At 52.1% G+C, this 19,552-nt stretch overlaps 1 protein-coding gene across 15 annotated transcripts in view, besides 4 other annotated features; it reads right to left on the bottom strand.

Moving 5' to 3' along the window:
• Positions 2,843-19,552, bottom strand: part of CCM2 (CCM2 scaffold protein) — a 76,725-nt gene continuing 60,015 nt past the window's right edge. For 3 of the 15 annotated variants that reach the window (NR_030770.2, NM_031443.4, NM_001167934.2), the window contains 8 exons: positions 15,312-15,395; positions 14,667-14,850; positions 10,734-10,870; positions 9,352-9,487; positions 6,530-6,587; positions 5,742-5,853; positions 4,905-5,043; positions 2,860-3,536 (listed from right to left, as the gene is read on the bottom strand). Coding sequence is in view for 14 of the 15 variants with exons in the window: in NM_031443.4 (NP_113631.1) it covers positions 3,256-3,536; positions 4,905-5,043; positions 5,742-5,853; positions 6,530-6,587; positions 9,352-9,487; positions 10,734-10,870; positions 14,667-14,850; positions 15,312-15,395 (1,131 nt within the window). In the remaining variant the exon portion in view is untranslated. Of the gene's footprint in view, positions 3,537-4,904; positions 5,044-5,741; positions 5,854-6,529; positions 6,588-7,440; positions 8,925-9,351; positions 9,488-10,733; positions 10,871-14,666; positions 14,851-15,311; positions 15,396-19,552 lie in introns of those variants that run through there. The other 12 variants (XM_011515561.3, XM_011515563.4, NM_001363458.2 and 9 more) reach the window with 8 other exon arrangements.
• Positions 4,739-4,908: an enhancer, noted in NCBI's record as "experimental_99227 CRE fragment used in MPRA reporter constructs". NCBI's record gives its function as "activates a minimal promoter by MPRAs in K562 erythroleukemia cells, with activity observed for the non-introgressed 7:45114089 or rs2289370 variant allele {active_cell/tissue: K562}" and the evidence as "EXISTENCE:reporter gene assay evidence [ECO:0000049][PMID:34662402]".
• Position 4,823: a transcriptional cis regulatory region, noted in NCBI's record as "Neanderthal adaptively introgressed variant 7:45114089 (GRCh37/hg19 assembly coordinates) or rs2289370 in the experimental_99227 CRE". NCBI's record gives its function as "modulates activity of the experimental_99227 enhancer by MPRAs in K562 erythroleukemia cells {active_cell/tissue: K562}" and the evidence as "EXISTENCE:reporter gene assay evidence [ECO:0000049][PMID:34662402]".
• Positions 5,506-6,165: an enhancer, noted in NCBI's record as "H3K27ac-H3K4me1 hESC enhancer chr7:45112747-45113406 (GRCh37/hg19 assembly coordinates)". NCBI's record gives its function as "activates a minimal SCP1, AML or CMV promoter by ChIP-STARR-seq in primed H9 embryonic stem cells {active_cell/tissue: H9 hESC(primed)}" and the evidence as "EXISTENCE:reporter gene assay evidence [ECO:0000049][PMID:30033119]".
• Positions 6,166-6,825: an enhancer, noted in NCBI's record as "H3K27ac-H3K4me1 hESC enhancer chr7:45112087-45112746 (GRCh37/hg19 assembly coordinates)". NCBI's record gives its function as "activates a minimal SCP1, AML or CMV promoter by ChIP-STARR-seq in primed H9 embryonic stem cells {active_cell/tissue: H9 hESC(primed)}" and the evidence as "EXISTENCE:reporter gene assay evidence [ECO:0000049][PMID:30033119]".

Genomic DNA, 19,552 nt, shown 5'->3' with positions numbered 1-19,552 from the left:
CCCTCACCACCTTCTGATGTCCCCTCACCACCTTCTGATGTCCCATTACTCTCTGATGTCCCCTCACCGCCTTCTGATGTCCCATTACTCTCTGATGTCCCCTCACCGCCTTCTGATGTCCCCTCACTGCCTTCTGATGTCCCCTCACTCTCTGGTGTCCCCTCACCGCCTTCTGATGTCCCCTCATTACTCTCTGGTGTCCCCTCACCGCCTTCTGATATCTCACCACCTTCTGATGTGCCCTCATTACTCTCTGATGTCCCCTCACTGCCTTCTGATGTCCCCTCATTACTCTCTGGTGTCCCCTCACCGCCTTCTGATGTCCCCTCATTACTCTCTGATGTCCCCTCACCGCCTTCTGATGTCCCCTCACCGCCTTCTGATATCCCATTACTCTCTGGTGTCCCCTCACCGCCTTCTGATGTCCCCTCACCGCCTTCTGATGTCCCCTCACCACCTTCTGATGTCCCATTACTCTCTGGTGTCCCCTCACCGCTTTCTGATGTCCCATTACTCTCTGGTGTCCCCTCACCGCCTTCTGACGTCCCCTCATTACTGATGTCCCCTCACCGCCTTCTGATGTCCCATTACTCTCTGGTGTCCCCTCACCGCCTTGATGTCCCCTCATTACTCTCTGATGTCCCCTCATTACTCTCTGGTGTCCCCTCATCGCCCTCTGGTGTCCCCTCACTGCCCTCTGGTGTCCCAATACTCTCCGGTGTCCCTTCACTGCCCTCTGGCGTCCCCTCACCTTCTGGTGTCCCCATTACTCTCTGGTGTCCCCTCACCACCCTCTGGTGTCCCCTCAGTACTCTCTGGCGTCCCTTCACTGCCCTCTGGTGTCCCCTCAATACTCTCCGGTGTCCCCTCATCGCCCTCTGGTGTCCCATCACCCTCTGATGTCCCCTCACCACCCTCTCGTGCCCCTCATTACTCTCTGGTGTCCCTTCACCGCCCTCTGGTGTCCCCTCACCTTCTAGTGTCCCCTCATTACTCTCTGGTGTCCCCTCACTACTCTCTGGTGTCCCCTCACCACCCTCTGGTGTCCCCTCATCACCTTCTGATGTCCCATCACTCCCTGATGTCCCATTACTCCCTGGTGTCCCCTCACTGCCCTCTGGTGTCCTGTCACCACCCTCTGATGTCCCTTCATTACTCTCTGGTGTCCCCTCATTACCCTCTGGTGTCCCTTCATCTGCTCCATGTCCTCTACTCTTTCTGCTAGCAAAGACCAGCGACTGCAGCACGGGGGCCACACCTGGGATGGACCCTGGAGGGGCAAGCATGTGGTTCCTTTGACACTCCACACAGAAGGCCCATGCAAGGCCATGTTCAACCAGAGGGATGGAAGGGGGACACTGAACCTTCTGGCACAGGGTGGGCTCTGGTAGGGGGCAAGAGCCCAGGAGACTGTGTGGTTTGTCCTCAGCCTCTCCTGATGCTTCCAGGGCATGTCCATTTTCATGTAAACTTAAGAGACAGTGTCAACAGTAAAGAGCCTGCTGCCTGCCCTGGCCTGGGGTCCCATGAGTAAGCAGCTCTACAACAGCCCAGTACAGTGGAAAAACTCGCCCATAAAACACTGACCGGGCCGGCCGCGGTGGCTCACGCCTGTAATCCCAACACTTTGGGAGGCAGGCGGATCACAAAGTCAGGAGTTTGAGACCAGCCTGGCCAATATGGTGAAACCCCGTCTCTGCTAAAAATACAAAAATTAGCTGGGCGTGGTGGCAGGCGCCTGTAGTCCCAGCTACTCGGGAGGCTGAGACAGGAGAATCGCTTGAACCCAGGAGGTGTAGGTTGCAGTGAGCCAAAACCGCACCACTGCACTCCAACCTGGGCAACAGAGTGAGACTCTGTCTTGAGAAAAACAAAACAAAACAAACAAAAAAACACCGACCAGGCCCCTTCCTGTTCAGAAGCTGTGATACCATACAAACCCGTCTACCTTATTCAGGAAGGTGCCTGAGATACTCCAGATCCTCTGGCTTGGCCTGGACACAATCAGGGTGTCCATGGAGCCCCAGAGGCTCTCCCTGCTTCCCCAAGCCTGGGCCAGAGAATCCCTGGGGCCTGACATGCAGCCCCTCCATCCAGCAAGGCTAGGCCCCCAGCCTGGGCAGGAGGGAGATGTGACAGCCAGTCTCCTTCCTAGATGTCTGTCCCCTTGGGGGTCTCCGCAGGGTTGTGGCTGCTCTCCGGTGGAGGGAGAGGCTCCGGACAACCTGACCCAGGTCACCTCTTCTCCCCTTCCCATATCCAAGGAAGCTTTGTAAGGGCCCAAAGGGTATAGGCAAGACCAAGGCCAACAGGGTTTGGGGAGAAGAGCTCACGGGACAAGGATGGAGACAGGCCCACAATGACGGCACAGGGAGGGTCGGCAGAGTTGCACACTGGCCTCTGAAGACCCAGCCCCCAGGCTCCAAGGTGACGAGATCTCAGAGAGCATTTCTGTTCCACGGGGTAGTGCAGGCTGCTTGAGGAAAAAACCTGCAGCATGGGGTTGGGGGGAGGGGGGGTGCGGGGCACAGCCAGTGACCTTGAAGGATTCAGTGCACAGGATGTAAAGATCAAGGTGCCCCCAACACATGCCACACACGCTACCCTCACACACGCTGCCCACGAAAGGCCTCAGAACACCCGCTCCTGCCCCACATCCACACTGCTCAAGTCCAAATCAAGTCCTTCCTGTGGCACAAGAGCCTGTTGCCTCCTCCACCCCAGCCCCCAGGGACCACTGCCGAGTCCCAGGTGCTGCAGGGCAGATGGGGACCCAGGGACAGAGGCTAGAGCGGACACCCCTCCTGGCACCGATGGCTTTCACCCAACTGGATCAGAAACATGCTTGGCAACCAGAGATTAAATTATTCACATTGCAGTAAACTTCTTTTTAAGGTCTCTGAGAGTTACAATAGGAACATCATGTGCAAAACTGACAGCCGTCCAAGGGCCCAGCCGACAGGACTGGCTCTCCCTGCCCGCTCGGCCGGGCCCTCCCCGAGCGGGGACACACTGCAGGGCTTGGCTGAGCCCTGGTGGACAAGGCAAAGAGCCTTCCACCCCGCACTGAGGCTCGTGTCCCTCGGCAGCTCCCTGCTCCTTCACAGTAGAGGACCTGGGCCGCCCGGGGCCATCTGCACCGGGCGCCTCTCCCTGGCCACCACCAAGGGCTGACACGCAGGTCTGGGCAGCTCCTTCTGGGAAGGCCTATGACGACTGCGCGGAAGGTGTGGGTGCCCCCCCATCCACTGTCCATCATGCTGAGTCCTGGTCCATGCTGCAGCCCAGCGCCTCAATGTCGCTGCTGATGTCCGAGATCATGCGGTCCCACTCATCCCCCTCTGAGGGTGCCGACCGGTCATCAGAGCTGCCCGTGGCCCTGTTCCCATTGGTGGTGGAACTGGATGTGGTGCTCAGGGCCCGCCGGTGCCTGCCAAAGCTGTCAGTGATGATGCCGCGGCCATCCTTCACGCCAATGGTCTCCAGGAAGTTCTCGAAGTGCTGGCTGTCCTTCTCAGGGATGAAGGGCCTCAGACCTGCAGACACACAACACCCAGCATGGCACCTCCAGTTCGGCTCAGCCCACTCAGCTCTTCTCTCAGGGCTCAAAGCCCCCTGACAGGGCCACAGCTGCCCCTGGTGCATGGCCTTGGGGACCCTGATGCCATGCTCACTGCATCTAGCATCCTGGTTGAAATCATGCTTCCTGGGGCCAGACAGTTTGGCTAAAACCTCAACTCTTGACAGACACTGCTGCTGGCCCTGACAGCTTACTGCCTCTGCCACATGCACACTCCCTGGCCTCAAGGCACCAGCACAGGCCAAGAACCTGTGGCCTCCTCTCATTCTCTATTAGTCCTCACAAAGGACCCATTTTACAGTGGGGAAAGCTGAGGCCCAGAGCAGTGCTCAAAGCCACCTGCTGGCACCCGGCAACAAGGGTGCAGTCCTCAGAGGCAGGCCTCATGCCAAAGTCCAGTTTCCCTGCCATGACCTAGGTGACTGTCCCAACTCAGAGGGCTGCCCTCTTATTTGGGAAGCCTAGTGTGTCTCTCAGAATCTCTACTCCCCGATGTGGAGGGGCAGACAGAGTCCCATGCCAGGAGGCAACGCAGGGCCCAGCACAGAAGGGGCAGGCACTGCTTAGACAGAACCTATTGTACAGACAGGCTGCCCCAGCCTCCAGCCCTTCACGCTCCTAAGAGCGGGGAGCCCTGGGCAGGCAATCCACGTTTGCCACTGCCAGGTCGGTACGATGGTTAACAAACCCACCTTCCTTGGTTTGCAGGGAAAACAGGCCAGGACCCAGAAGCCTTCAACTGGCTACTAGCAACACATTACCGCAAACTTGCTGTGTTCTAAGTGTCGGCAGAGGGAAACCACAGCTAAGTCACCGCCCCTGAGAGGTGTGGGGCCAACATCCAACTCTGCTGCTCAGACCACACAGCCCTCTAGCCGCACTGACCTAATGTGCCGAGCATTTTAGGGGTCTTGGCAAACGCTGGTCCTTCCGCCTTGAAGTCCTACACATTCACCAAAACCCATGCCTCTCTGGCTCCTCCAGCACTGTTTTCCTAAATCTCAGGGTTGTGTTCACTCCCAGCCCTGCTCCTGGGGGATCTCTGCTACTTCCTGGCAGGGCCCACCCAGCTCAGCTTGAGTTCCCAGGAGAATGAAGGCCTGTCGGTGGGCCCCCAACAGTACCTGGGAAAAGCCCTTCTGACTAATCACAGCAGATTCCCCGATCTCTGGACTCTGCTCTCATGCCATCTCTGGTTCAAATCTCCCATCCCTGATGGAGCCCCTGCTGCACCCACTGAGGGGTCCGTGTGCACATTCCCAGGAGGGATCAGCCTCTCCAAGCCAGGTTTGGACAAGCCACCCTCTTTCCAGGGCCCACTCACCAAGCAGCAGGAACTTGCGGCTGTCCCCGTAGAGCTGCCGCAGGTTGATGCAGAACTCGTGGATAGAGGCCCCATTGCGGTACTCGTGCAGCAGTGCTGCAAACTGCTGGATCTCCTGTGATGACAGCTTGGTGCGCAGCTGCAAGAGAGCAGAGCCAGATAGGGGGCTGGGCACAGTAGGCAAGAGTCGGCAGTCGGGCCCACCTTGCCACAGCCACTAACCCCAGCCAGAGCACCAGCTGTCTCTGGCTTCACCTCTGCACAGGCTGGGGCATCAGAATGACCACAATGTGTCCCCATCCTACCAGACCTGGCACGGGGCCACCCAGAGGAGACCAAGGCACCCGGGCAGCTCCACTCTCCTGAGCTGGAACACAGAGTGCATGGGAGGGACAGGAGCCAGCAGGGCAGGGTGGAAGTTGGCAACCTGGCCCGGGGCCAATGCCTGTGCCCTTAGGCTACACACAGGCACACAGGCAAATCAGGAAGACTTGAGTTTGCAATGACAGAACTATATAAGATGGGGAGGATAAAAATGTCTGGCCATGTGGCCTTGCAGGGGCCACCGTTCCCTCCCCTCCCCCAGGACCCAAGCACAGGCCCACAGTCCAGCCCTGACGGCCACAGCACTCCCAACTCAGCCCCACTGACTGATGCTCTCCTAGACTATCCCCAGGAAAAGGCAGTGATGTCAGCAAAATTGACCAAGAGTGCTCTAGGTGACCTCACTCACTGCAGCCTGCCCTGCACTGCTCCTCCTCCTCCTCCCCTTCCCCCCATCCTCCCTGGGGCACCCCCTCCCTCATGCAGCCCAGCGTCCCTGCAGCGGAGGCCTACCGTCAGCATGTAGTCCTGCAGCAGCTCAGTGGCGCTGGCGCTCAGCTCGCTCTCACTGATGGTCTTGCTGTGGGGTGATGCACCACCCACATCCACAGATTCAGGGAAGCAGCTGCGAAAGAATGTGGTATGTGAGCGGGTGGCTTCCCCGACCCTCCATCCCACACACGTTTCAGGAAACCTAGTCCATGCCGTGTGTGTGGGTCCCTGTCCTTGAACAGAGGAATGTAAGTGATGATGATGATGATGAGAGGAGAGCTGACTGGGCATGCAGGGTGGTCAGCTTGGCCTGGTCCTGGGGCTCCCCGGGGGCATGGCTCTGAGTTGGGCTCTGAGTGAAGAGAGGGAGTACACAGGTCAAGGCAGTGGGCAGCATTGTTGGGCAGGGGAAGGAGCCAGGGTTGGGGAGGTGGCAGGAATGGAGAGCGCGAGTGGGTGAACTACTACAGAGCCCCAGGTGGTGGCAGAGATGGGCTGGAAGGCCAGCGCCTCGGCAGGCTCGGGCAGGGGAACAGCTCCATCCAACATGCCTATTACAAGCTCACTCTTGGGAGGCCATGGGAAGGTAGGCAGGGAGAGACAAGAGGGACAGCAAGGGCTCTAGAAGTCTACGAGGAGAGGGCGGCGAGCCAGGCCTCAGCCATTCACTAAGCTGGGTACAGTGGGTCTGGGGATGGCTTAGCGAGGGTGAGCTGAGATGGGGGAGCTGACTGGCTGCAGCCTGGACAACACCAGACAACGCATTTGGTGCGTGTCCCACCGCAGGGCTTGGTGGCATGTGCACTCACAAAGTGCTGGCTTCCACCTCGTAGGTCTCCTTAATGTCCACTTTTGTAGAAGAGTCATCTGTAAGGAAGATGCAGAAAACTAAGATGACTTTCAGGGACATAGTGGGGAGGCATTTTGAGTCCAGCCCACTGCTGTATTTACAGGAGACAGCGGCAGCCCTGGTCTTCAGGGACCCTGCTGTCCTTCATCAAGCTGCCCGCACTCTGGAATGTGCTGTGTGCCTCAGGGCAGGGCTTCCCAGACTTGAGCCCACATACACCCCTCCTGGGGATCCTGGCAAATGCAAATCCTGCTGCACGCTGGGCTGAAGTACACATTCACCCATGGCCAGAGCCAGCAAAAGCTGTCTTTGAGGTATCACTCATGTGCCAGGCAGGGTTACTGGGGCTTTGTCTCCTTTAACCCAGGCATATATCACCCCTGTCTTCACTTGTAGATTAGGAAGTAAGTCAGAGAGTTACACAACTTGGCCCAGGTCACACAGCAGAAACCACAGTCAGAGCCGGGCAGTCTGACTCCCCATCTGAACCCAGTGAAGCCACAGGATTCCCAAGACCCTCAGACCAGCAAAGGGTCTGGCACTGAGCAGCTACATTCAACAAATGACATTAGGTCCGTGTGACACAGACTGTAATTTGCTATTTCAAACCTGAGGAAGGCACATTTCACACCAGCACAGACAGTGAGTGAAAGCTTTGTGAGCGAGGCAGGTGAGTGTTGCAGAGAGGGTAAGATTTTAAATGAAGCAGAGGGAGAGGCTGAGAGATAAAAGGGACATTTCTGGCACTAGGAACAAGGTAAGTATGGAGGGCAGAATAATGACCCCCCAAAGACGTCCACATCCTAATCCCTGGAATTGGTGAATATGTTACCAATTTCAAAGGGGAGTAAAGGATGCTTATCAGCTGACCTTGAAATAGGGAGATGACCCTGGAGAATTTGGGTGGGCTCAATGTGATTGCAAGAGTCCTGAAATGCAGAGGAAGCTGACAGTCAAAGGAAGATGTGACTGTGGAAGAGGTCACGTGGCTGGCTGTGAAGACAGAGGAAGGGCCATGAGCCAAGGCATGCAGCCGCCTTTAGGAGCTGGAAAGACAAGGAAATGGCTTCTTCTCTGGAGCCTCCAGAAGGAACCAGCCCTGTGGACACCTCAACTTTAGCCCAGTGGGACCCACAATGGACTCTTAACGTATAGAATTATAAGAGAATATATTTCTGCTGTTTATGCTGCTATGTTTTGGCATAGCTGTAGTAGAGAGAACACAGCAAGCAAAACTCCAAGGCAGAAATAAGCAGAGAATGCATGCATGTGCGTAACGTGTGCACATCTGTGTGTGGATCCCACGGGGAGGTCTTGGGAAAGGCTGGCAGGGGAAGAAGCCCACTTCAGCAACCCCCAGTAGTGGTGTTACATGATGTGTTTACTTTATGAAAATTCATTCAACTGTACATGTATGACTTGTGTACTTCTCAGTAAAAAAAAAATTATTAAAGAAAAAAAGGCCCTTTGGGAATTTTAAAGCACAAGGGCCAAACCAGTCGCACTAAAACTGAATGTTTAATTACAGCTCGATAAATCATCTGCTACTCATATGGTACATTCCTCTGGATAAGCTGTTGACTTCTAAGCCTCCACTTCCCCATCTCTAAAATGGGGATGAAGATTGCACCTATCTCGCTGGGCCACCGAGGACTAAATGAGATAGAGAGGATGCCTGAGAGCTCAGCAGCTGTCTCTCTGCAGCTGCTGGGCCAACACAAGGCGTGTAGTGCCCACAAAGGGCTCTGGCACCAGCAGCAAGAAAGGGAAGAAGGAGGCACTGAGGAGCAGCCCTCACACCAGCACAGGCTTCTCCACCATTTACTCTCTTCACTGAGATGTGCGAGTTACTGGGGAAAGGGCAGAGGGCTGGGACTTATCTCCGTAAAAAGAAGAAATTGTACTCAACAAGCCGCACTGTTTCCAACAGCCTTTTTTTTTTTCTTGGTATTTTTTAGTAGAGACAGGGTTTCTCCATGTTGGTCAGGCTGGTCTTGAACTCCCGACCTCAGGTGATCCGCCCGCCTCAGCCTCCCAAAGTGCTGGGATTACAGGCATGAGCCACCACACCCAGCCTCCAACAGCTTTTTATGCACCTCAATTTATATAACCCATTAATCCTCAATAAGTAATACATCTGAAAAACAGATGATGTTTTTGAAGACTTAACTCAAGTGAGCTTGCTGATGAAGTGTTTTCAATGGACTAACAGACTCCTGAAAATGCTGTGTGGGCCATGCAGGAAGAGACAGCTCTGGGGTACCTTCCATTCTTCCCCATCTGCCACTGCTCCACCACTGCCAGCTGGCCTCCCAGGGCAGCCTGAGCAGCTTCCCATGGGTCTGGCCATGGTCCTGGAAGGAGTTTCACATTAAGAGCAGCCATAGTCTGGGCATACTGAAAAGGAGGCTCCCCAGACCCACTCTCAGCCTCCCCAATTCCATCACAGGCCCCAGTGCTAGGAGCCTTCTCCAAGCTCTTTGTTCCGAGTTAAGTGAAGTGACTTTAGCCACAAGTGGTTCCAAAAAAGTGTTCACAGACCCCAAATTTATTCCAGGAAGCCATAGCGCTGACCTGGTGCAACTCTCTCAAGGACAGGTGACACTTCTGCCTTCATGAAACCCTATGGGCTAATGTGAACAGCAAAGTCTGGAAACAAAAGGCCACCATGTCACGGCAGTAACTGCGCTATTCCAGGAGTAACTCATGGGGAGCTGGGGGCCACTGCAGTAGCCCCTCCTGTCCCTGCTCCCACCCGCTGCCCACTCTCACTCAACATACCGCTGTGCAGGGACAGGTGGTGGGTCGGGGTAGAGGCCCCATCAAATATCGCTCTGTCCAGAAAGTCGATGGTGGACTCCGTGTAAACAACCTGGAAGACCTGGCCTAGCAGACAGCAAAGCTCCTCCGCAGCGACCTGCAGTGGGGGACAGCAGCTGCTCGGTCAGTCTGGCTGGAGACTGCGCCTTCCCAGGCGGCTTCCAGGATACCTGGGGCAGCCCAGATGCTCAATAAACATGAATGAAGAGTGGATACCAGAATGTGTCCCTCTGCCTTTCACTGACCCAAAGGGGTGTCAAAAGAGAGACCCAGCCAACTGCCCCAGGACTCTATCTAGGACTGCCATGTGGCCCAGGGGTGGTATTGCAAGTGTGAGGGGACTGTGCAGGGCACAAGTGTTAGCTGCCAGTCCAACGTCTTCTTTCCATTAACCTGACCTATCAACACCCTCACAACCCTATCCCAGCCCAGGAAAGAGGTGAGAGGAGATACCATCAGTATCACAGCCCACCTGGAGGCATTTCTAACAGCTATAAAACAGTTTTATAACAGTGTGCTGTCTAAAGCAGAGGCTCTCAACTGGGGCAATTTTTGTACCCCTCCCAGGGGACATGTAGCAATATCTGGAGACATTTTCAGCTGTCACAAGGGGAGAAGCTGGGATGCTGCTCAACACCCTACAGTGCACAGGGCAGCCTCCCACAATGGAAAATTATCCGGCTAAAAATGACAGTAGCACCAACACTGAGAAATGCTCATTAGAGGATATTTAAGGTGGGTGGTCACTAGCATCCATTTTACAGATATGGAAATTAAACAAAGGTGTTAAGTGACTGCCAAGGCCCCACAGCTATTGGGTGGCTGAGGGGGCCCCAAATCCTAGCCTACAAGGGCCCAGCCCTTGGCTCTTCCAGGTTGTGAGGAATCTGCAAGCACAGTCCTTAACACCAGGCAGGTCTAGGATGCACAGGTGACCGCCGCTGCCCGCCCATCAGCGTGGGGGCACCTTGAAGAATGATAAGCAAAAAGCTCAGTGGCCAGGTGGTCTCAGAGAAGTTGCTGGGGGTTGGAGGTAGGAGGGTCAGAAGGCACAGGGGTGGGAACCGGTGGGGAGCCTGGGCCTGGGGCAGGACCTGGGATGCAGTCATGCGCAGAGGAGCTGTGGGCAGGGCCAGGATGGGGGCAATGCCTGGGGCAGGGTTGAGCAGAGAGAGGTGGGGCTGGGTGGAGACTAGGGTGAGGCAGGGACAGGCAATGGCAGAGGAAGTAGCTGGGGCACCCAGCAGTGCCCAGCACTGTGCTGGGTGTGGCCAGGGTGGGGCTGGCCATGAGCAGGGTCTGGGAGGAGCCAGTTCTGAGTAAGTGGGGCGAGAAAGTCTCACCTTGCTCTCTGCAGCCAGGATGACCAGGCAGCATGCCTCCACGGGCCCAACTGCACTCTCCGACAGGGAGCCTGCACTGAGGCCTCTGGAACTTTCCGCACACAGACTCTGGCTGGGGGAGATCCCTGGGTCCTGGGCTGAGAAGTCAACACCATCTCAGTTTAGCACAGTGGAAGGGCAGGCATGGGGGCACTTGAGGAAACAGCTGAGGCCGCCATGGAAACAGGCTGAGAGGACCTTTACCTGGCTCAGGCACCCACAGAACGACTCAGGTGAAGGGCCTGCACCAGACACACTTCGCTTCTCTAAATAAGGGTGGGAACACGCGACCCCTGAGCTCCAAGGGCACCAGAGCTGCATGTCATCCTGCAGTTTCACACGCTTCAAGTTCATATACAACAGACCACATATACAACCCTGAGAACAGTCACCTCCAGGAGGTTTCCATGTGTTCTGGGGAGTTCCCTTCTTACAGATGGGTAAACTGAGGCATGGGAAAGTGAAAGGCCTGGCCTGAGGGCGTGTGAGTTGCACTGTCCACATGGCAATCTAGACGGTCAGACCCCAGTGCCCTTGTTTCTAACATCCTACCCATTGCCTCCCTAGACAAATGAGGTTCTCCTGAAATACATGGAGTAACTCAGTGGTTTTCCTGATGGCAGAAGTGAGGCCAATCCCCAGGAAGCAGGGCTCTCACCATCAGTTCGGACCACCCTGGGAGGACTTCAAGACTGAAAACAAAACCTAGAAGTGCCACTAGTGCCAGGGTGTCAGAGGGCAGGCCAGCCTCAGGAGGGAGAAGAAGGCCGTCCCAGGCCACATGCAAAGTTAGCGCATGCACAGAGACAAGGGCTCCATAAGAAACTGTACCTCAAACCCCACAGTGAGACTCCTGGGGCTGCTCTGTCCCTATGGCAGCCACTGGCCACAGGACTACTGAGTATGCAAAATGTGATGAGCCCACATTGAAATGTGTGAGTGCAAACTATACACAGGGTTTCAGAGGTAGGCAAAGAAAGAATGCTATGTAGCTCAACGATTTTTATATTGATTATATACTGATGTAATAATGTTTTGGGTACGGAGGGGTAAATAAAATATATTATTGAAAATAATTGGCCAGGCGCAGTGGCTCATGGCTGTAATCCCAGCACATTGGGAGGCCAAGGCGGGTGGATCACCTGAGGTCAGGAGTTCAAGACCAGCCTGGCCAACATGGTGAAACCCCATCTCTACTAAAAATACAAAAAAATTAGCTGGGCGTGGTGGCTCATGCCTGTAATCCCAGCTACTCGGGGGGCGGAGATTGCAGTGAACCAAGACCACACCATTGCACTCTAGCCTGGGCAACAAGCACCAAACTTGTCTCAAAAAAAAAAAAAGGCGGGCACAGTGGCTCATGCCTGTAATCCCAGCACTTTGGGAGGCCAAGGTGGCGGATCACAAGGTCAGGAGATCAAGATCATCCTGGCTAACACGGTGAAATACTATCTCTACTAAAAATACAAAAAATTAGCCAGGCGTGGTGGCAGGAGCCTGTAGTCCCAGCTACTCAGGAGGCTGAGGCAGGAGAATGGCGTGAACCTGGGAGGCAGAGCTTGCAGTGAGCTGAGATCACGGCACTACACTCCAGCCTGGGCAACACAGCGAGACTCCGTCTCAAAAAAAAAAAAAAAAATTTACTGGTTTCCCTTTACTTTTTTTCTTTTTTTGGTATGAGTTTGGTAAGAAATCTCTACCTTTTAAACATTTTTAAATGTTGGCTCCCTGGTGTGTGCCTGTGGTAGTTCTCAAGGAAGCAGGGTGGGCAGCCTAAGGATGCGGGCAGCGAGTTGTGTGCCTCTCCTATATCATCCAGGAAGTGCTACCACGGGTGCACGGGTGACCCTGCCCCATCTGGCACCAACTCAAGTCATCACCCTCCAAGCAGCTCCTGCCACATGGACCCTATTGCAGCTAGACCTGGCCCCCAACTTCCCCACTCCTGTGCTATCCCAAATACCAGCGTACTTTTGGTCCAAAGAGGCACAGAGACTTGCTTGCACATAGCAGGCACCAAGTAAACGTTAGCTATTCACCTGCTAGTCTCTTATGCTGAGAACTCTGGATGCCTAATCCTAAATACAGCATGGCGGCCCAGTGCAGTGGCTCATGCCCATAGTCCCAACACTTTGGGAGGCTAAGGCAGGAGGATCGCTTGAGGCCAGGAGTTCAAGACCAGCGTGGGCAACATAGAGAGACTTCATCCTTACAAAAATTTTTAAAATATTTTAAAAATTAAAAAATAAACACAGCACACCTTATGTAACACAGGGGACACACAACTGCTCCGGTGCATCCACAAAAACAAGGAAGATGGCCCCCAGGACACAGGGATTCACTCTCTTCCTTTAAATCAAAAGTTCTCTCAAAGACCAGAAGTCCTGTTTTTCATCTAATTTTGGAAAGTTTCTCCTATGGCGCTCATTCTCTCTCCATTAAAAAAAATCTGTCATCCATTTCCTTTAGCAATGTGTTCTAATAATTAAAGCTGAGAAACTGTCATGCAGCAGAAGAAATAAAGGGAGGAGCCTATCTCCCCTCCCTACCAGCTTGAAACACCTGCAAGAAGCGAGTCAGAAACCAGTCTCCTCACTCCTTGTCCCTAAGGATGTCCCAGGCCTAAGGCCTCCCGCAGGGTCCAAAGGTAGAAAAACAGGAGGGTCACCATGGTGTCGGATAGTATGGCTGGAAGGAGCCACCAACCCAGCCTTCTAAGCCAGATAGGGTGAGTAATGTACATGTGTGTAGGTGTGGTGTGTGCCTGCGTTGGGGAGGGTGTACGCAAGTCTAAGCTACTGCTACACAGAGAACAAAACAGAGCAACAGCCACCTTCATAAACCCCGCCAGTGTTCCCTGTGTAGTTTATGACCACAGCAACCCCAAGCATCTAGACTCACAGGCTTTCAGTGGACTGCTCTCAAGAGCGCACTCAAGCTGGCAGCTTCATGGCTCAAGGGGTCAATAATGAACACACTCGCCAGATTCTCAATGAACTACTGACCTTAAGTGGAACAACAAATTCCCCTCTCTGCTACCTAAAACACAGTGTGTGGTCTAGGCAGACCCACTGTGACCCCTTCACACCCTGCCACTGGCCCTCTGGAAATGAAAGGCTTTGGGATCAACCCAGTCACCAGCAGAGATCCAAGGAGCCCAGGATACTGTCCCCACTGCAACACCAGCCTCGAAACTCAGGACTGGGAGGGGCAAAATACAGGTAGGGCGAACCATGGTCTCTCCCCTCATCCTCAGTGGCCTGAATGCCTGGGCTGGAAGCTGCTGGAAATTAACGGGCAGCTTGGGCTTGGGTCCAGTGAGGCAGCACTGTACTCACCACAGCCAAAAATAACATTCTGCCCAATTCTGCCCAATTCTGCCCAATTCTATCCCATTGTGAAAGCAGCAGACGGCAAGGACACACAGAGAGTAACCTCTATGACCAAGAGCTCCTGGGAGGTCTGGGTCTCATCTTTTCTGTCCCAGGTTTGAGGACACTGTGCAGAGCTCAAAATATCAGTCAAGCTGAGGTGAGGTCCCTATCCACTGCACTCTCTCTAGGCTCCACCACACCTGGGCAGAGGGGCAACTCCACTGTACCCAGAGGGAGTCAATAGGAGCCCCACCGGGCAGAGGAACAGGATACCAGTCCTAAATACTGTATCCCAGTATTATTGAGTCCCCAAAGGCTCTTAGTGTGACAGTCACCCCCAGTGTCTGGTAACTGATCTCAAGCCCTCTTCTGGCTGATCTCAGAGACAGGAAAGACAATTATTGGTCGTGACAAACAGCAGCACCCAACACGAAGCTGCAAAAACTGTCTCCAGAACTTCATAAAATTCACACATGTACTCCTTAGGACAAGGACCCTCCTGACCCCTGACCTCCTGTACCTGTCTTCAGGACCACCAGGTGTGCAGCGTCATCCCGAACATAGGAGACGGCGGCGATGTCATGGATGGGCACCCTGAGGATGATATCCTCCCCGTCCCTCCAGGCCAGCTTGACGTTGTACGCAGACAGGCTGAGCACAGCATCGTGCTCCTGAGTCAAGTGTCCCGGAAGCTGGTGGGCTCTCTGGAAGGAACCACAGGGCATCAGAAATACAGACTCAGCTGTCAACCGGCATGGGGCGCTTCTCCTGAGAATATTGTGCTGGCCGATGTCACACATGTGACAAATGCTGAGTGAATAAGGTCAGTGTTATTCCCCTCAGAACAGTGCTTATTCCAGGGACACCAATGTGTTCAAACCATTTGGGAGATTCTTCTGGAACTGCCTTCAGATTCAGACTTACGGCACATGGTTTGAAATATCTTGAAAGTGTAAATTTTGGAAACAGCCCAAAATCACATGGAGCAAGTGTCGAGAATCAACTTAATGTCCATACTAAGGAATAGTCTTTATGGCCAAGAGCCAAGTGTACCCATAATGTGATGGGACTGGCTCATTCCTCACAGCCACGAGGCCAAGAGTACAGGGACCAAGGGCTGGTGGGGGCTGAGGGCTAGTGCACAGGGTTAAGAGGATAGGGTTACCTTTGCATTGTCTATGAAATGCAGGATTTCAGTCCTACTGGAGGGATTCAGGTATCCTGGTATGGACGTTAACTGACCTAAATACTGAAAGAAAGTGAAGAAAAAAATGCCATGAGAAATGGGAGCTGAGCCAACACCACCATCACTACCACCGAGAGCACAAACCAAGTGCTTCATACTCAGGCCACCAGGCCCATGGGTCTCCATTCCGGCTCGCGTGGAGGCCCAACTCTAGGAAGAGAGTCCTGGGTTCTTACAGAAATCTCTACTGGCTGAGGACAGTGCTGCCCCATCTCCTACTATTCTACAGTGAAGGTCATCATCAAAAGTCCTGCAATGAGTATCCCAAACTACTAGTACCAAAACTACTAGTTTTGGTAGAATCTGTATTCTAAAACAGGGATGGTCAGGGTTTTCTCGTCACTGCTGGGGAAACTGAAAACAATGGCATCATGCACAACTTCACTAAAAAATAAACTTCCTCAATTGCAAAGGTCAACATAGCTGAGAAATGAGCATAAATAGAGAAATGAAGTGCTATGGTTTCAATGTGTCCCCCAAAAAGCATGTGCTGGAAACTTAGTCCCCACATGCAACAGTGTTAAGGGTGGGGCCTTTAAGAGGTGATTAGGCCAGGTGCGGTGGCTCACGCCTGTAATCCCAGCACTTTGGGAGGCTAAGGTGGGCAGATCACCTGAGGTTGGGAGTTCGAAACCAGCCTGACCAACATGGAGAAACCCCGTCTCTACTAAAAATACAAAATTAGCTGGACGTGGTGGTGCATGCCTGTAATCTCAGCTACTCAGGAGGCTGAGGCAGGATAATTGCTTGAACCCGGGAGGCGGAGGTTGTGGTGAGCCAAGACTGCGCCATTATACTCCAGCCTGGGCAACAAGAGCAAAACTCCATCTCAAAAAAAAAAAAGAAAGAAAAGAGCTGATTAGGCCACGAGAGCTCTGCCCTTGTGAGCACATTAATGCTGTTATCCTGGGAGAGGGTTTGTTATCTCAGGAGCAGGTTCCTGATGAAAGGATGAATTTGACCCCCTTCCCTCTCCTGCCCTTCCACCTTTCGCCCTGGGATAACATAAGATGCAGATGCAGCCCCTCACCAGCTGTGCCCTTCAACCTTAAACCTCCTAGCCTCCAGAACGATACGATTTTTTTTTTTTTTTTGAGACAGGGTCTCACTCTATCACACAGGCTGGGGTGCAGAGGCGTGATCTTGGCTCACTGCAACCTCTGCCTCCCAGGCTCAAAGCAATTGTCCCACCTTAGCCTCCTGAGTAGCTGGTACTACAGGTGTGTGTCACCACGCCTGGCTAATTTTTGTAGAGACAGGGTTTTGCCATGTAGCCCAGGCTGGTCTCGAACTCTTGGACTTAAGCAATCTGCTCACCGCAGCTTCCCAAAGTGCTGGGATTACAGGTGTGAGGCACCATGCACAGCCTAGAAATATCTATTCATTATAAATTTCCCAGTCTGTGGTATCTGTTATAGCAGCACAAAACATTTAGTAAAAAGGTTTTTTTGGTCACACATGGCCATGAGGCACTTGGCTTAGCAAACCTCCATAATGCAGGGCCTCAGGTGTAGAAGGCTGTGGGCAGCAGCACTGTACCTGCTGTGCTCCTGCCTGCATCTTACCAACCACCATAACATTTTCAATGTTTCTGTTTTTTAAAATGGGTTGCTGATTCTTCCCAAGAACAGGCTTCTTGCACTCAACATTTCTCAGTTGTTCATTACCTCACACAGTTAAGTTCTCTATTAAAAAAGAATGAAATGGGACTTTCCAATTTCCTGTCCAGCTTGTAAAGGCTCAGAAGTCATCACTCCCATCCTCACAACAAGAAAGCTGGCAAACTTAAAATCAATGACTGTTCTCAGATCCATCAGATAATTGAGGTCACATGAAAAAACAATAACCCCAAAGATGGAGAGACAGATATGCAATGCTAAGAATCACAGCTCATTGCGGGGCAGAAACCCTAGAGCCAGCACCAGCAGAGAGGAAAGGGGAACTGACAAATGGCAGAGACTGAGCATGGACCAGTAGGAGACAAAAACTCCAGGGGAATAGTCACTGGGGAGGTCCCCATACCAGTCTGAGTTTTACCTCCATGAGCCCCACCAGGCTCTCAGGGTGAGACTGGAGAAACATCTCCTCATACTCTGGTAGGAGGAGGGAAGAATACATCATTTAAAAGTATAACCAGGCCAGGTGTGGTGGCTCATGCCCATAATCCCAGGACTTTGGATGGCCAAGGCGGCAGGTTTGCTTGAGGCCAGGAGTTTGAGACCAGCCTGGGAAACATGGTGAGACCCTATCTCTACAACAAGAACAACAACAGCAACAACAACAACAAAATAGTTGGGCACGGCAGTGTGCCTGTGGTGCCAGCTACTCAGGAGGCTGAGATGGGAGGATCATTTGAGCCCAGGAGGTTGAGGCTGCAGTGAGTCATGATGGTGCCACTGCACTCCAGTTTCCCAACCAACATATAAAGGGCTCAGAGGTCATCTCAAAAAAAAAAAAAAAAAAAGAAAGAAAGAAAGAAAAAGGCATGACCAGAGCATTCTGTTATCCTTAACAAAGGGCTTTCCTCAAGGAAAACTATTTTACCAGAGCCTAACCACCTAGGGGTAAGGAAACACCCAATTCCTGCCTCCTCTATCGTTTATGTCTCTCCTAAGGGGGAGGAAAAAAACAAAACTGAGAAGCACATGTGAAGGCCACGGCCCAGGGACACAGGTTCACTAAAACACTGAGACCTAATCCCAGGACTACAGAACACTTCCTCTCCCCTGAAAGCCACATCAACAGGACCCCTGTGTAATAACAGGGATGCACACCTATAAGAACTGCAGGCCTCAGACTCTATTTAAGAAGGAATCTTGAAGAAAACCCAAAAACAATGGAAGACAAAAACAAGGATACACAGGAGATTTTTATCCCCCAGCATCACAAGGGCAGCAAACAGTAAACACAGCCCAACTCCCAGCCAGCCAAACGTACCTCACACTAAGGCCTATTAACCTGACGCCTAAGTTCCTCATATCAGAACCAGACTCAGACATAGTGGAGATTTTGGAACTACCAGATTGGGAATTTAAAACAACTACGATTAATATGGTAATGGCTCTAACGGAAAAAGTAGACATCATGTAAGAACAGATAGGCAGCATAAGCAGAGATGGAAACCCTAAGCAACAATCAGTAGGAAATGCCAGAAAGCAAAAGTCCTGTAACAGCAATGGGGACTGCCTTCAACAAGCTCAAGAGGCTGGACACAGCCAAGGAGAGACTCTCTGAGCTTAAGAATACGTCAACAGAAACTTCCAAACATGAAAAGCAAAGGGAAAAAAGAACGAAAGAAAGAAAACAGAATATGCAAGAACTGTGGGACAGTTACAAAAAGTGTAACATATGTGCAATGAGGATATCAAGAGAAAGAAAAGAACACAATAACTATTTGGAGTAATGAGAGCTGAGAAGTTCCCCAAACTAATGTCAGACACCCATCCACAGATCCAATAAGGTCAGAGAACATGAAACGGTAAAAAGCAGGTAATTTACACTGAGGCAAATCACATCAAACTGCAGAAATCAAAGACAAAAAGAAAATTAGAAAGGAAGATTCTCTCTTTGCAGAAATCTGGGAATTTTTTCCACAGGAAAAAAACATCCTACCTATAAAATGGCAAGAACAAGAATGACACTGGATTTCTCTTCAGGAACCATCCAAGCAAGAAGAGAGAGGAGGGAACTATTTGATTCTGTATCCAGTGAAATTATCCTTCAAAAGTGAAAGAGAAATAAAGATTTTTATCAGAAAAACAAAAACTCAGGGATTTAACATTTCAAGAAAAGTTAAAAGAACTTCTTCAGAGAGAATGAAAATGATTTGGTCAGAAACTCTGATCTATGTAAAGAAGGGGAAAAGCATCAGAGAAGAAATAAATGTAGGTAAAATTAATCTTTTATTTTTCTTATTTTAATTGCTCTAACACATTAACAATTTGTTCAAAATAAAATTTGTGTATTGGGTGACTGTAGCCTAAGGATAAATGAAATAAATGACAGCAATGTTATAAGCAGTGGGAGGAGTGAACTGGGAATACTTGGTTACAAGGTATTTGCACTACCTGTGAAGCAGCACAGCATTATTTGAAAGTGGATTTTGATTAGTTGTGAATGTATATTGCAAACCCTAAGGCAACCACTAAAATAAATATATA

The sequence above is a fragment of the Homo sapiens genome, chromosome 7 (assembly GCF_000001405.40).
Source record: "Homo sapiens chromosome 7, GRCh38.p14 Primary Assembly".
Classification (NCBI taxonomy): Eukaryota; Metazoa; Chordata; class Mammalia; order Primates; family Hominidae; genus Homo; species Homo sapiens.
This window is presented reverse-complemented; position numbering and strand designations above follow the sequence as displayed.